Source organism: Homo sapiens, chromosome 3 (assembly GCF_000001405.40).
Source record: "Homo sapiens chromosome 3, GRCh38.p14 Primary Assembly".
NCBI classification, from domain to species: Eukaryota; Metazoa; Chordata; class Mammalia; order Primates; family Hominidae; genus Homo; species Homo sapiens.
The window spans coordinates 182,898,067-182,911,891 of NC_000003.12; the positions used below are offsets into that span (position 1 = coordinate 182,898,067).

The 13,825-nt window shown below is 37.0% G+C and overlaps 1 protein-coding gene across 6 annotated transcripts in view; it reads left to right on the top strand.

Moving 5' to 3' along the window:
* ATP11B (ATPase phospholipid transporting 11B (putative)) overlaps positions 1-13,825 on the top strand; it is a 128,126-nt gene that overhangs the window by 104,563 nt on the left and 9,738 nt on the right. For 3 of the 6 annotated variants that reach the window (NM_014616.3, XM_011512597.3, XM_017006008.2), the window contains one exon: positions 541-706. In NM_014616.3, the coding sequence (NP_055431.1) occupies positions 541-706 (166 nt within the window). Of the gene's footprint in view, positions 1-540; positions 707-4,414; positions 4,501-7,727; positions 7,854-13,825 lie in introns of all 6 variants that reach the window. The other 3 variants (XM_011512593.3, XM_047447784.1, XM_011512594.3) reach the window with 3 other exon arrangements.

Here is a 13,825-nt window from a genome sequence, read left to right on the forward strand (position 1 = left end):
ACTTCTATTTAGGATCATAAAAGGATACTCTTATGAATATTTCTATATTTCACCATATTCTTTTGAGGTAGTATATACAAAAACCCAAAAAGAATATCTTTATAACACTTACTACTATGTAAAACTAGTATTCGTGAGTACATTAATTTTAAAATATGTTTTTGAAGAAGAGCCTCTGAATAAAGCTTTCATTCTAAGATTTGGATAATCGGCCTTCTAAAATATTTTATTACACACTTTTTCTTGCTTTACTTGGTCCCTTAAGTCTGTATTACTACATTATTCTTCTGATCCACTACCACTAAGATAGGGTTATCTGGTCAACTGCTTGCCATTTTCCTAATAAAAACTATAGTTGTTTTATTTTTAACAATTAAAGCTTATCTTGTTTTGTTAGTTCAGTTAATTAAATTATACTGATTTCAGTTTTGAACATTTTCTTGGAGTACTTGTTACTTTCAACTGTAGTGTCTTTATATGATGTCCTGATTTAAGTCTTTCAGTTTCCACTTTTATTAAGCACATTTTCTTTCTTTGCAGGCCATTTTTGGGCTCCCAGAATATGTATTTTGTGTTTATTCAGCTCCTGTCAAGTGGTTCTGCTTGGTTTGCCATAATCCTCATGGTTGTTACATGTCTATTTCTTGATATCATAAAGAAGGTCTTTGACCGACACCTCCACCCTACAAGTACTGAAAAGGCACAGGTAACCACTTTTTATAATAAATTCAATATCTTTTTAGTTAGGGATCTTTAATAATGAATAGCTGTCATTATAATTTGATTATGTCAGAAAATAGGAAATTAGCCATTCCTGTTTCAACTATTTTGTAACATAAACATTGTTCAGTGTGATATTTTTGAAGTTATTTCTTACTATTTCTATTAATTTTATGACTACTGATAAGTTATTTTTTTAATTACATTGTGTTGTTAATAAAACTTTATGTTTTTAGGTATGAAACTATCAAATTATATCCAGATAATAATAGTAAATATTTTTAAAGTAATATCACAGCATTCTATCATATATATATAATGAAGATCTATAGCCATGTCTTTAGAAACATCAGAATTTGAGTAATTTTTTTTTTTTTTTTTTTTTCCGAGACGGAGTCTTGCTCTGTCACCCAGGCTGGAGTGTAGTGGCACGATCTTGGATCACTGCAAACTCTGCCTCCTGGGTTCAAGCAATTCTCCTCTCTCAGCCTTGTGAGCTGGGATTACAGGCACCTGCCTCCACACCTGGCTATTTTTTGTATTTTTAGTAGAGACGGGGTTTCACCATGTTGGCTAGACTGGTCTCGATCCCCTGACCTCATGATCCGCCTGCCTTGGCCTCCCGAAGCGCTGGGATTACAGGTGTGAGCCACTGCACCTGGCCGAGTAATATTTTTTCTGATTATATTATTTTCACCAAAAAAGTATGAAATGAATTATTTAACCTAAATAATTTGTACAGAATAGAATTTTTAAAATTACATTATCTCACTAAACATTTATTAATAAATATTAAACTACAGCAAATATTAGCAGTATGTTACATAGTGCTTAAGAATCTTTGGGGCCTGATAGATCTCAGTTCAAATCCCAGGTCTTCCACTTGGTATCTCTGTGACTTTGAATCTCAGTTTCCTCATTAGTAAAATTATGATAGAAATACCTCTTCTGTTACCTTTCTAGTGAAGATTAAATGAAATAATTTCCAAATACTTAGTAGGTGCTCAAGGATAGTAGCTATTTAGTTGACTGTGTCTTTTTTATATATTTGACTAGTACGTGAGCTAGAAATCTCTCAGTTTGTCCTTTTAACTCTATCGTATTGGATAAATACTCTAAAAAATATATTCTAGTCAACTCTTATGCCCTGAGCTTATTAATCATTTAGTTCTTCCCAGGTTGAGATTTTTTAAACATGCTTGTAACATGCCAAATGAATTTTGGAAATTTAGTTGTATATTCATCCTACAAATAGAAAAACTACTTCCTAAACATTTGGTGATGTAAGTTAGGCTTCCTGACCAGTGCATTAGTTTTAATTTCAGTAGTTCGTGTCCACAACATTTCTTTAGTATTCATTTGCTTTGATAACCGAATCCTAGCCAATATACACATTCACACCATTGAGACAGCATAGGCCTGTGAAGCCTGACAAACTTGAATTCAGATATTGTTTCAACAGTTCATATCTGTGTCCTTGATCACTTCATAAGCCTCAGTTTCCTCCTCTATAAAATCAGAAAAATAATTGCTACTTTACATGGTTGTTAGAGATAACGAGTATGAAGTACCTCACACTGAGCCTGTATATAGTTGATCCTCAGTAAAACAGTTATCATTATAAGTAAAATGAGGTTGAGAATGTTGCTCTGTTATACTGATCTCCAAATGGGGCTAAAACAATTTGCATAATCTGATTCCTCTATCTGTCCATGCGTATATATTTATATCAGTGTGGACAGACTTTTCCACTCTGCAATATATTACTTAAATATATATCAGAAAGTTTGCCTATCTTATTATTCCTAATCTTCTGAAAAAAAAATTCACAATAAAAGAGTACTATTTTTAAGGCTTTGTCCATTATACTTACTCTAGATCTTTATGGAGAATAATTTGTCTCCCTGTTTTGACCTAAATACAGTTATATTTCACCAAAATATATGGATGGCATTATTTTAAATACTTAATTCTTGAGACCGGGTGCAGTGGCTCACACCTGTAATTCCAGCACTTTGGGAGGCCGAGGCGGGTGGATGGCTTGAGCTCAGGAATTGGAGACCAGCCTGGCCAACATGGTGAAAGCCTGTCTCTACTAAAAATTAAAAAAATAGGCCAGGCATGGTGGCTCACGCTTGTAACCCCAGCACTTTGGGAGGCCGAGGCAGGTGGATCACGAGGTCAGGAGATCGAGACCATCCTGGCCAACATGGTGAAACACCGTCTCTACTAAAAATACAAAAAAAATTAGCCGGGCATGGTGGCAGGCACCTCTAGTCCCAGCTACTTGGGAGGAGAATCATTTGAACCTGGGAGGTGGAGGTTGCAGTGAGCTGAGATGGCGCCACTGCACTCCAGCCTGGGCGACAGAGCGAGACTCCATCTCAGAAAATAATAATAAATAAAAATTTTTAAAAAGTAAAAAAATTAGCTGGGCATGGTGGCACACTCCTGTAGTCCCAGCTACTCAGGAGACTAAGGCATGAGAATCGCTTGAATCTGGGGGGCAGAGGTTGCAGTCCACCCTAGGCGACAAAGTGAGACTCCGTCTCACAAAAAAAAAAAAACAAAAAAAAAACCTTAATTCTTTATAAGAGTAAATATAGGTTCAGTATCCTTTATCCAAAGTGCTTGTTTCGGATTTCAGATTGTTTAAAATTTTAGAATATTTGCATTATACTTATTGATTTAGCATCCTTAATACAAAATCTGAACTGCTTCAATGAGCATTTTCTTTGAGCATCATGTCTGCACTCAAAAAGTTTCAGATTTTGGATTTTCAGATTGGAGATACTCAACCTGTAATCAGATTTATTTATATTTATCCTTAGAAATTCTACTTTAGGCAGAGCATTTGCAAACTTACATGTTTTCATAGATATTTCTTAATAATATAAAAGGTGATAATATCAGTTCTTGTTACCTTTCCTATAGCCTCTTTTTAAAGGAATACATAGGAAATATTTGGGCTACCTTAAGGTAGGCCATTAGACAAGTTAAAAGTGCTTTTATATATTTTGGTTCTTTCACTATAAAGCTAAAAATTGATTTAGTCTATTTGATTAAAAATGGAATGTACAGTGCATCAATCATTTTATCTATGTGTAAAAGCTAGTATAGTCTTCCTTCTTGGCTCACTAAATTTATTTCTAAATGACTTAACTGGATGTTCTAGGTGGTCTAATCCAAGAAGGAAGTCTCTACTTCTACTCAGGGATCTTCTAGCCTGCTGGGGTTGGTGTGTTTTTTCCTTTCCTTTTTTTTGCTGAAACAGTATATGGTCATTGAAATCCTGTATGTAACATTATTCCTTTGCTACAGGCAGTAGTCGTTATTTTAGCTTTATGTCATTCCTGATTTCAAATGATGGAGAAATGGCTAGAAAGCTATCAGCTACTTCATTGTTTACCAAAAGTAGCAGGAAAAACCATATCAAAGGAAGAGCTGTCAGCATGTTTTCTGAGCCTTGTTTTTCTCCAGAGTAACAATGTGGTGTTAAGAGTGAAGAATAAATTCTTTTGATGGCACAGCCAACAGCCCTACAAATGTTAGTCATGTATGTGTATCACGTATGATATTTACTCCTCGTGTAGGAACAGATGTATTTACAAAGCTTGTCCTGTGTCTGTCTCTTAGGTGATGAATACAGCTCACTGACTTGTTGTGTGTCCATCCCTTTTCTGTCCACTTATAGATGTACTCCAACACAGTTGCTTTAAGTGACGAGTTCATCGCACTGCAGCCATTGTCGAGGGCAAGGAATCAGCTGAGCAAACTTAGGTAGAGTAGGAGGAGTAGAGCCTCATTAACTCTTCTGCATGCTAAAGGTCAATTAAACAATATCAAAAGATGGGCAGAGGCATAAATAAAGAGCGGGGCATTTTTGTTAGCATGGCCCTGTCTCTGAATAATTTGACCTTTATTAACATATACGTTAAAACCTAAAAAAAAAAATCCATTTCTTCTTTGAGAAGAAAATTCAGATAAAAATTCAACGTGATCACAGAACAGAGATCTATACCTTGTTAATATATCTTTACACCTTAACTACCTTTTCTAGTACAATTCTAATGCTTCTGCTTGTCATGTTATTCATATTTATGAATGCTCCTGCATGTTGAGTAATTAAAGCTACATATTTGGAAGTGAGAGTTGCCCATTTTTTTTATCTTGCCTTAATCTGTATTGTAAATACATGTGCATATTTATGTTTGTGTATTGTAATGGCTGCTGAAGCATTTCATATCCTGGCTACTATTTAGTGCATCTATAAATCGAACAATGTGTGTGTATGTCTTATCTTTATCTCCACAGACAGATTCATTCTGTCAGTTTGTACAAAAAATAATAGTTTAGGGATGCCTTTTGATAAAAAGGGATGAAAGCTTAAATTCTAGAACTGTTTATATTAAGATACTATAACTATGTATTAAGTATGGTTTGAAGGGGAAAAGTAATATAAGTTATTATTTTTCTTTTTAGAAATTGACACTTTTCCATTTCTTGCCCTATTGGTTTCTTACAGATTCTTAATCACGTATTTTTTAAATTATTTTTTATTCTCAAGGTTTCTAATCTTTCTCTATGTTCATTTGAATTTTAAATTCTGTTTTATTCTCAAGGTTTCTAATCTTTCTGTGTTCATCTGATCAAATGAATGGCTTTTACGAAGCACCACTTAAATAGCCTTTTATAAAACTCTATGAGTTCATAATATTGAGCTGTTTAAAGATTTACTAAACCTTTCAGGTTTTTTATTATTAGCTTCAACTTTAAAAAATATTCTATTTCAAATTACAATGGTGTAATAATTACAGATGAGTATACAAATGGGTGTTTAAGTTGTAGTCAACTAAATTTTATATTTAAAATGAGAACTAAATTAAAACAAACTTAAAGATTTACCTTCACTTTTGTCTGAGCCAAATATGTGTATCACAATTTTATCAGTAGGTGACTTTAAAAACAGTGGCTTTCTATCACATTTTTGAGCATCTAATTGTTTAAAGCAAAAGGAGAGCTCATTATTTAAAAGCACACTCTGGCCAACTGTTTTGTCATATAAATATAACTTTCGTATTGTGACTAATTATATTTTTATGAAATCATATTTTCATATATCATACTGGCTTAAACCACTTTTTTTTAGCAAAGCTAGATTTAAGAATAATGGAGAAAGGAGATCATAAATCAAAGAAATCACAGATTCTGTAATACTCTAATAAAACAGTAAGCTGAACATTCATCTCTGAAAGATCACAGTGAGAACAGGATATTGGTGAGATGTTCTTTCTGCAAGCCACTCTCCAATCAGGTGGTGTAACAAGTGGGAAAGAACACTGTTGAGAGAGCGGCAGACCTGAATGCTGGTGCTGCAGTTGGTGCTACTCCCAGTGGGTCCTAACCAAGTCACTTCACCTCTGGGCCTCCAGGTTCTTCACCTGTCACATGATCATTTTACATATTGTGGTCTGTTTATTTACCATCAGCATCATAGAAGAGCAAAAAGAAGAAATACTGTGCTCCACTAAAAGCCAGGCTGAGAAAACAGTTACTCACATTGAGCAGTGAGTGACCACTAGGTGGGCATTTGTTCATAGCTGCATGGAGAACAAGTGCCCATATACATCTTTCTGCTGATGCAGCCTCTAAATTTTGAATGCATCAGTTTTTTAAACTGCATTGAGCAATATTCCGTGGGTGTGATCCATAATAGCGTAACTATTTACGCCTGTGACAGAGAGGAAAACTGTATGGATATCAGATATCTTTAAGAGCTTTTTAATCTTTAATCAAGTTAGTACTTCTTAAGGATGATTAAGGCCAGGCAGTGGCTCACACCTGTAATCCCAGCATTTTGGGAGGCCAAGATGGGTGGATCCCTTAAGGTCAAGAGTTCAAGGCCATCCTGGCCAACATGGTGAAACCCCATCTCTACTAAAAATACAAAAATTAGCTGGGGTGTGGTGGCAGGCGCCTGTAACCCCAGCTACTCAAGAGGCTGAGACAAGAGAATCGCTTGAAGCCAGGAGTTGGAGATTGCAGTGAGCCAAGATCATGCCACTTCACTCCAGCCTGGACAGCAGAGTGGGACTTCTTCTTAAAAAAAAAAAAAAAAAAAAAAAAGGATTAATTCAAAACTTATTAACAATTTTCTTTTGAATAAACAAAGCTCATTTTGAGTATTTTCTTTTCCCCTCTTCCCCTGTGTTATAGGCAAAGCTATTAAGGTATCTTCACATAAACTTAGTATACCCTTGAAACCAAAAAATTCTGCTTAGTTTTTGTTTATGTCAGAAATTCAGCATTGCATCTTTCATAGAAATAATTATTGGTCAGTCTTAATCCTGGAAAAATACATAGAGATGAGGCAAAATTGTTTTTTATTCATTAAGGACATTGTCTTATAATAAGATTTAAAATAAAGATGGCTATGGAAACATTTTAAACTTCCTTAGAAGATCTCTAATACAAATACAGAAAAAGAACTGAAATTTATATAAATTATTGACCCTCATTAAAAATCTGTTTCAAATTAAGGATTAAATTTCTTTTGTTAACAAATAGATCAGGTGAAGCCCTTTGCACACATGCTCAACATTTCTAAGGCCATGAAGTCCAGTTAGAGTAGAGAAGTCTTCTGAGAAGGGAAGCAGGAAAGGTGAGAAATTGGACATACCTTTTCAATAAGAACCCTAAATCTTGGTGGCAAATGAATTTAATAGAAGAAACTGAATTTTATTGAAAGAAATTTGGTTTTAACTTAGCTGTAATATATGTTTAGTTAGAGCTTCGTGCACTGAAAAATCATGGCTTTATTTTGTGTGCTTGTGTTCCCCTTAAGAAGTTCCCATTAGCCCTCTTTTGTGACAGTAAATGTACTGTTCTTTGAACATTCTTTTGTGCCTCAGATTGTGAATGCCAACTTGTTGCTTTGATCTTAAACCTCTATATGGTGAAGAGTATCATTCTGTAATATGAGACTTGTTGCTTTTCTGTCCTTCCAGATGGAAGAAGATAAGGGTTCAGTCAGCTCAGCATATGAATTTGCTGAAAGCCAGCACAGAGGGGAGGACAGTAGGCACCTGCTAGCTGAGGCTTGCAGCCAGCAGGACAGTTGTTGCGTGCACTAGGTAGTACTGCGCTGGACCTTCCCGGGCACTCATCCGCTAAGTTCTCATGCTTGGGGGGCATGTCATGGGACACCTGACCTGACATTTCCATTTCTTTACTAATTCCTTCACTGTTCCTCATATGTTGTTTTAGTTTCGTTGTTTTCCTTTTTTGTGGTCTTTACATTTTTCATATGTCCATCCCTGAAAATTTTGTCAATCTCTCTTTAGAGTTCCAAAGATAAATCAGACTTCACCTCACATTCTAAGCTGTGAAGATATTCTCACAACCTATTGTCTTACATTCAAGAAAATACTCCTTTTTACTTCTCCTTTTGAAAATGTCATGCTATTTCTGTTATCTCTGAAATCATTTTCCCCCTTGAAGTTGTAGTTGTGTATCATTTACCCATCTTAATATAGTTGGATACTGAATTACTTATCTAAGTCACCTCTTAAGTTGAATGATCAAAGAGTAGGGTGCTTAGACTTAGTACTGAGAAATTTTCTGCTGACTGCTGCTATTCAACAAACTTTCCATTCTTTTCATAAATTTTTTCTTTGAGACAGGGCCTCATTCCATCTCCCAGGCTAGAGTGCAGTGGCACGATCATGGCTCACTGCAGCCTCGACCTCCCGGGCTCAAGCGGTCCTCCCACCCTCGACCCCTCTCCCCCAGTAGCTGGAACTACAGGTGCATCCCACCATGCCCAGGTAGTTTTTTGTATTTTTTGTGGAGACTGGGTCTCGCCGTGTTGCACACACTGGTCTCAAACTCCTGGGCTCAAGCGATCTACCTGCCTCAGCCTCCCAAAGTGCTGGGATATAGGCGTGAACCCCCACACCTGGCTCATAAATTTTCATAGTTGTATCTGTTTTAAAAAAAAAAAAAAGAAGAAGAAGAAGAAGGCCGGGCATGGTGGCTCACGCCTGTAATCCCAGCACTTTGGGAGGCTGAGGCGGGTGGATCATGAGGTCAGGAGACCGAGACCATCCTGGCTGACACGGTGAAACCCCGTCTCTACTAAAAATACAAAAGCAAAAATTAACTAGGTGTGGTGGCGGATGCCTGCAGTCCCAGCTACTCGGGAGGCTGAGGCAGGAGAATGGCATAAACCTGGGAGGCGGAGCTTGCATTGAGCTGAGATGGCACCACTGCACTCCAGCCTGAGCGACAGAGTGAGACTCCGTCTCAAAAAAAAAAAAAAAGAAAGAAAGAAGAATTGATGAGAGCTTGATTTTCTCTTCTCTCGAGGAATAACCCTGACAACCATTTCGAGACCTAATAGGGATATGCAGAATATTTGGATTGGTAGTAATGATGGAGGATAAAATTTCCTGCCACTAATAATTGTATTATTTGGACTAATTGCTATTTTATTTATTGTAATTACTAGTCAAGAAAGTGCTGTTGTCTCATATGGGAGAAGCAGTGATGAAACTTTGTAACAAAGCCACTTGAAAATTGTAAATCTTTTAACCACACTATAAATCAGACCCTGGAACAGGTAGAATAATTTGAAGAATCTGGACTATTCTATAAGATACAGTTTTAAATTAGATTAGTGGATTACCCTAAATGAAAAATTAATCAACTCTGTTATTAAATATCATCAGTTGAAAAGATATTCAAAAGAATCCTGAATTTTTGTGTGTTTTGGTATGCTTCATATGATTATATTTACAGTATATTTCTGTTGCATTGTGCCTTGCTATAGAAAGATGTTTAGGCTTTTTTAATAGGCTCTGATTGAGCGCCAAAGAAAGCTCATGTGAAGAGCTTGCTGCTGCCTAGGATTTATGTTATGCCTTGGATAGTCTACAAAGCAGATAATCTCCTAAGACCTGACTAAAACTATAAAATTGTGTCCTCTGTAATAAAAGGTCCCCACACATTTAAGTTCTAGTGGATATTTCATATGATGTGGATCTGGTACTGCTTTGCTTTAATATGTCCATTAAATGTACAGTACAGCTGAGAATTGGGTTCTTAGAATGTTCCCATTAAATAACAGGAGCCTTATTATGGTGACTTTTGCCAAGGAATGATAAGTGAATTCTCTCTTACAGCCTGTGACATTAATTTACCGTCTGCATTAAATTTGGGGATTTTATCATTTTTCACAGGTATTAATTTCTTCCTCACCTAAATTACAAATTCCTAGTCATATGTTGTTATTTATGTAACCAGTAGAATACATTAAAACAAAAGGCCCTTAGTCCTCTTTCAAACTAAGAATAAGCCAGATTATTAAAATAAATTTACCGAATCAATATAATTCTCATATTATTATTTTCTTTTTTTTTTTTTTTTTTTTTTTTTGAGCTAGACATAGGGTCTCACTCTGCTGCCCAGGCTGGAGTGCAGAAGCACCATCTTGGCTCAATGCGACCTCCACCTCCTGGGTTCAAGCAGTTCTCCTGCCTCAGCCTACAGACGGGCTGGGACTACACACGCAGCTAATTTTTGTATATTCAGTAGAGACAGGGTTTCGCGTTGTTGGCCAGGCTGTTCTCAAACTCCTGGCCTCAAGTGATTCACCTTCCTTGCCTCCCAAAGGTCTGGGATTACAGAAGTAAGCCACCGCACCTGGCCCATATTCTTAGGTATGTAATACATACAGAAATCTCCTTCTCTTAAGAAATCCCTAAAAGACAGTATGGAAGTATTTTATAACAATCTTTCTAAGTTGTTTATTTTACTTAGAGGGAAGGAGAGAGGAAAGGGAGTTTAGAAGAGTGAATATGAGCTTGAAGAATGTTTTGGAGAAACAGGCCTTGAGTAAGATATACCAGTTACCCAGATTTCATCACTACCTGGCTATCTCCATTGCAGTTCTGAATTATGAGATGAAGCTCATTACTTGTTTTAGAGATTTTATGATTCTTAATCAGATTTGAAAATCAGTAACATTTGATGACTTGATTTTACATTAAAAAGAAAAACATTTCCTTAAACACAAACCTCTTCTTTTTTCATTTTTGTTTTTAAAATTAGAGTTTAAGCCTTCTTTCCAAATAACTCCTTGAAGGCCATGCAAGGTGCTCACTTTGATTATCCAGTATATAGAACACCTTTAAGGGCAAAAGACCTAGCATGGTTAATTGTTTGACAGTTATTATCTAAACTTTAAAAAACAAAAACCTTTATTTGATTTGATAGAATGTCATAGGTGTGACTAAAAAATGTTAGAAATGTGAGACATTTTTCTAAAATTTATAAGATTTAAGGAAGGTTGTAAGGTTTCAGGAAAATATTTTGTATAAGCAATAAGAAATGTCTTAGTGTTTATTGTCATTGACATGAAAATAATGGAAATAAAAGCAGTGAGCCAGAATTTATTTCAAAAGGCAATTTCTGTGAAGATGAGCATTTTTATTATCTGTGCATAGTCATGTTGAATAGACATAGTTGTTTTGCTTGACAGCCTTTCTAGCACTAAATTATGTGGTCATTCCTGGGAGCAAGTGTGGTGGAAAGTGAGGCTTACCAATCACAACTTCTAGTAAATTAAAAGTTACCTCTTGGTACCACTAGGTGGGGTCTCACTCCCATTACTATGCTTTTTTTTTCTTTTCTATTATTTAAAAGTGGTCTCCCAAAACATGTAATGATTTCCCCCAAAAATGTAATGATTTCCTCTCCTTACTTTGAATGAAATGGGCTCTAAATGCTCCACTCCCATTCTCCTCACCCAATTATACTGGCAACTATGTCTATACAGGTACTCTGGCCCGAGCTCCCAGTTCCTGAATATTGAGATCAAAGATGTATATATGGGAAAGTAGTAGAGCTTGGAGGTTTGCTAGAGAACAGTATAGCATTTTCTATAGATAGCTTTACAGAAACACAGCCAACATTCAGCATTTTAAAAGCAGCTGAGGCTGGCCACGGTGGCTCATGCTTATAATCCTAGCACTTTGGGAGGCTGAGGTGGGCGGATTGTCTGAGCTCAGAAGATTGAGACCAGCCTGGGCAACATGGTGAAACTTCATCTCTACTAAAATGCAAAAAATTAGCTGGGCGTGGTGGTGTGTGCCTGTAGTCCCAGCTACTCAGGAGGCTGAGTCATGAGAATTGCTTGAACCCAGGAGGCGGAGGTTGCAGTGAACCAAGATCACACCACTGCACTCCAGCCTCCAGCCTGGGCAACAGAGTGAGACTCGGCCTCCAGAAAAAAAAAAAAAAAAAAAAAAGCAGCTGAGTTCTTTTTTTTCTTTAGAGAAAAAAGGAAACATATACATACAAACTATATATTCACATATATATACACTTAGTTCAAAAAGTGATCTGAAGAAGTCATTTCTTAAAATTTTTGACATTTCAAGATGTTTACCTTCTCTGTTGGGATGTCCATATTTTAATAACTGTCCTTCAGTTTTAAAGCAAAGGATGGCCAGGCTCAGTAGCTCACACCTGTAATCCCGGCACTTTGAGAGGCTGAGGTGGGAGGACCACTGGAGGCCAGGAGTTTGAGACCAGCCTGGGCCGTATAGTAAGACCCTGTCTCTACTAAAATTAAAAATTAGCCTGACATGATGACGCACACCTGTAGTAGCTACCCAGGAGGCTGAGGTGGAAGGATTGCTTGAGCCCAGGAGGTTGAGACTGCAGTGAGCTAGGATCGATTGTGCCACTGCACTCCAGCCTGGATGACAGAGCAAGACCCTGTCTCTAAAAATAATAAAAATAAGGTGAAAGGTGATGAATGCAAAGCAAGATGATTACCAGGGTCAGATCCAGACCAAGGCAGTGTCTTGCACATATATGGATACTCAAGCGCTGGCTACCTTCTGGGTGTCATCTCGATGAATTTCTCCCAGTTGATTGAGCACCAGCTTTGAGCAAAGCACATGTTGTTAAACTAAAGTGTCAGACAAGATCCTTGCTCTTTTGAGTTTCTGGTTTAGTTCTCTCCAAGTAAATGTGGTGAAGGACCAGTTTGTTATTTTCTTGTTTTGTTTTAATTTCCAGTTTATCTTGAGCCAGTGCTTTTACAAATACAATAAAAATGAATTATAGGAAAATTAAATCTAAAAGATATATAAAATAAGCCCCAATTTTTAAATTATTGAATTTAACAGTTATAAACATACTTTGTCCAACTGCTGTAAAAATTTCTAAGCTCTTATTCTCACAGATTAGAAATGCTTATTTCTTCATGGGCCAGTAATAGTGTTTATGGATCAGCATTGATCTATGGACCACACTGTGAGTCACAACTGGTCTTTTTGCAAGGGGACAGTACCACTCCCTTACACTTAGGCTAAGCTTCTGCGGAATACACACCACACTGCTGCCCACACATAGCCACTCTTTCTCCTCCTTCAGCCTGGAATATCTTTTCCCCCCCATCTCCTGCTATTGAAATGCCCCCCCCCGCTAAGTCCTTTAAGATGTATTTTAAATGCCACCTTTTTCATCAAATCTTCATGCCCTCCCACCAGTACCACTAACAGCAGCTGGGTTTGAGCTTTCCCTCCTGTTTTCTGAGTAGTCTGCCTCTTATAATCATAAGGCAGGAAGTGCTATGGTAAAGGGGTTTGGGCTCTGCAAGCAAAGAAACCAAGATTCAAGCCCCAGATTAAGTGGGTGACCTTGAACAAATTCTTAACGGTTTCCTCATCTGTAAACTGGGGATGATCATGATGCCTATTCCTAAGGGCTGTTTAAGTTTTCAGTGAGACAATCCATGAGAAGCATCTTACATAGTCACTGGGGCATACGTGGTGAGCACTCCACTAATGTAACTGCTGTTGGTATGTCTTCCTGACTTGTCCTCTCTCCCACCTTCTTCCTTACCTTTAGCTCACCGGATTGAGCACAGGGTTACTATCCCCTGTGGAAAGTGGCACAGTACCTTGCTCAATAAATAGAAGTTTAAGTGCTTGTGCCAATTAAGTGATACAAATAAGCAGTGAAATAGAATCAGAGAAAGAGATGACTCATAGTTGGAGAGGTGAGGGAAGTTAATGGAGACGGTAGGATTTAA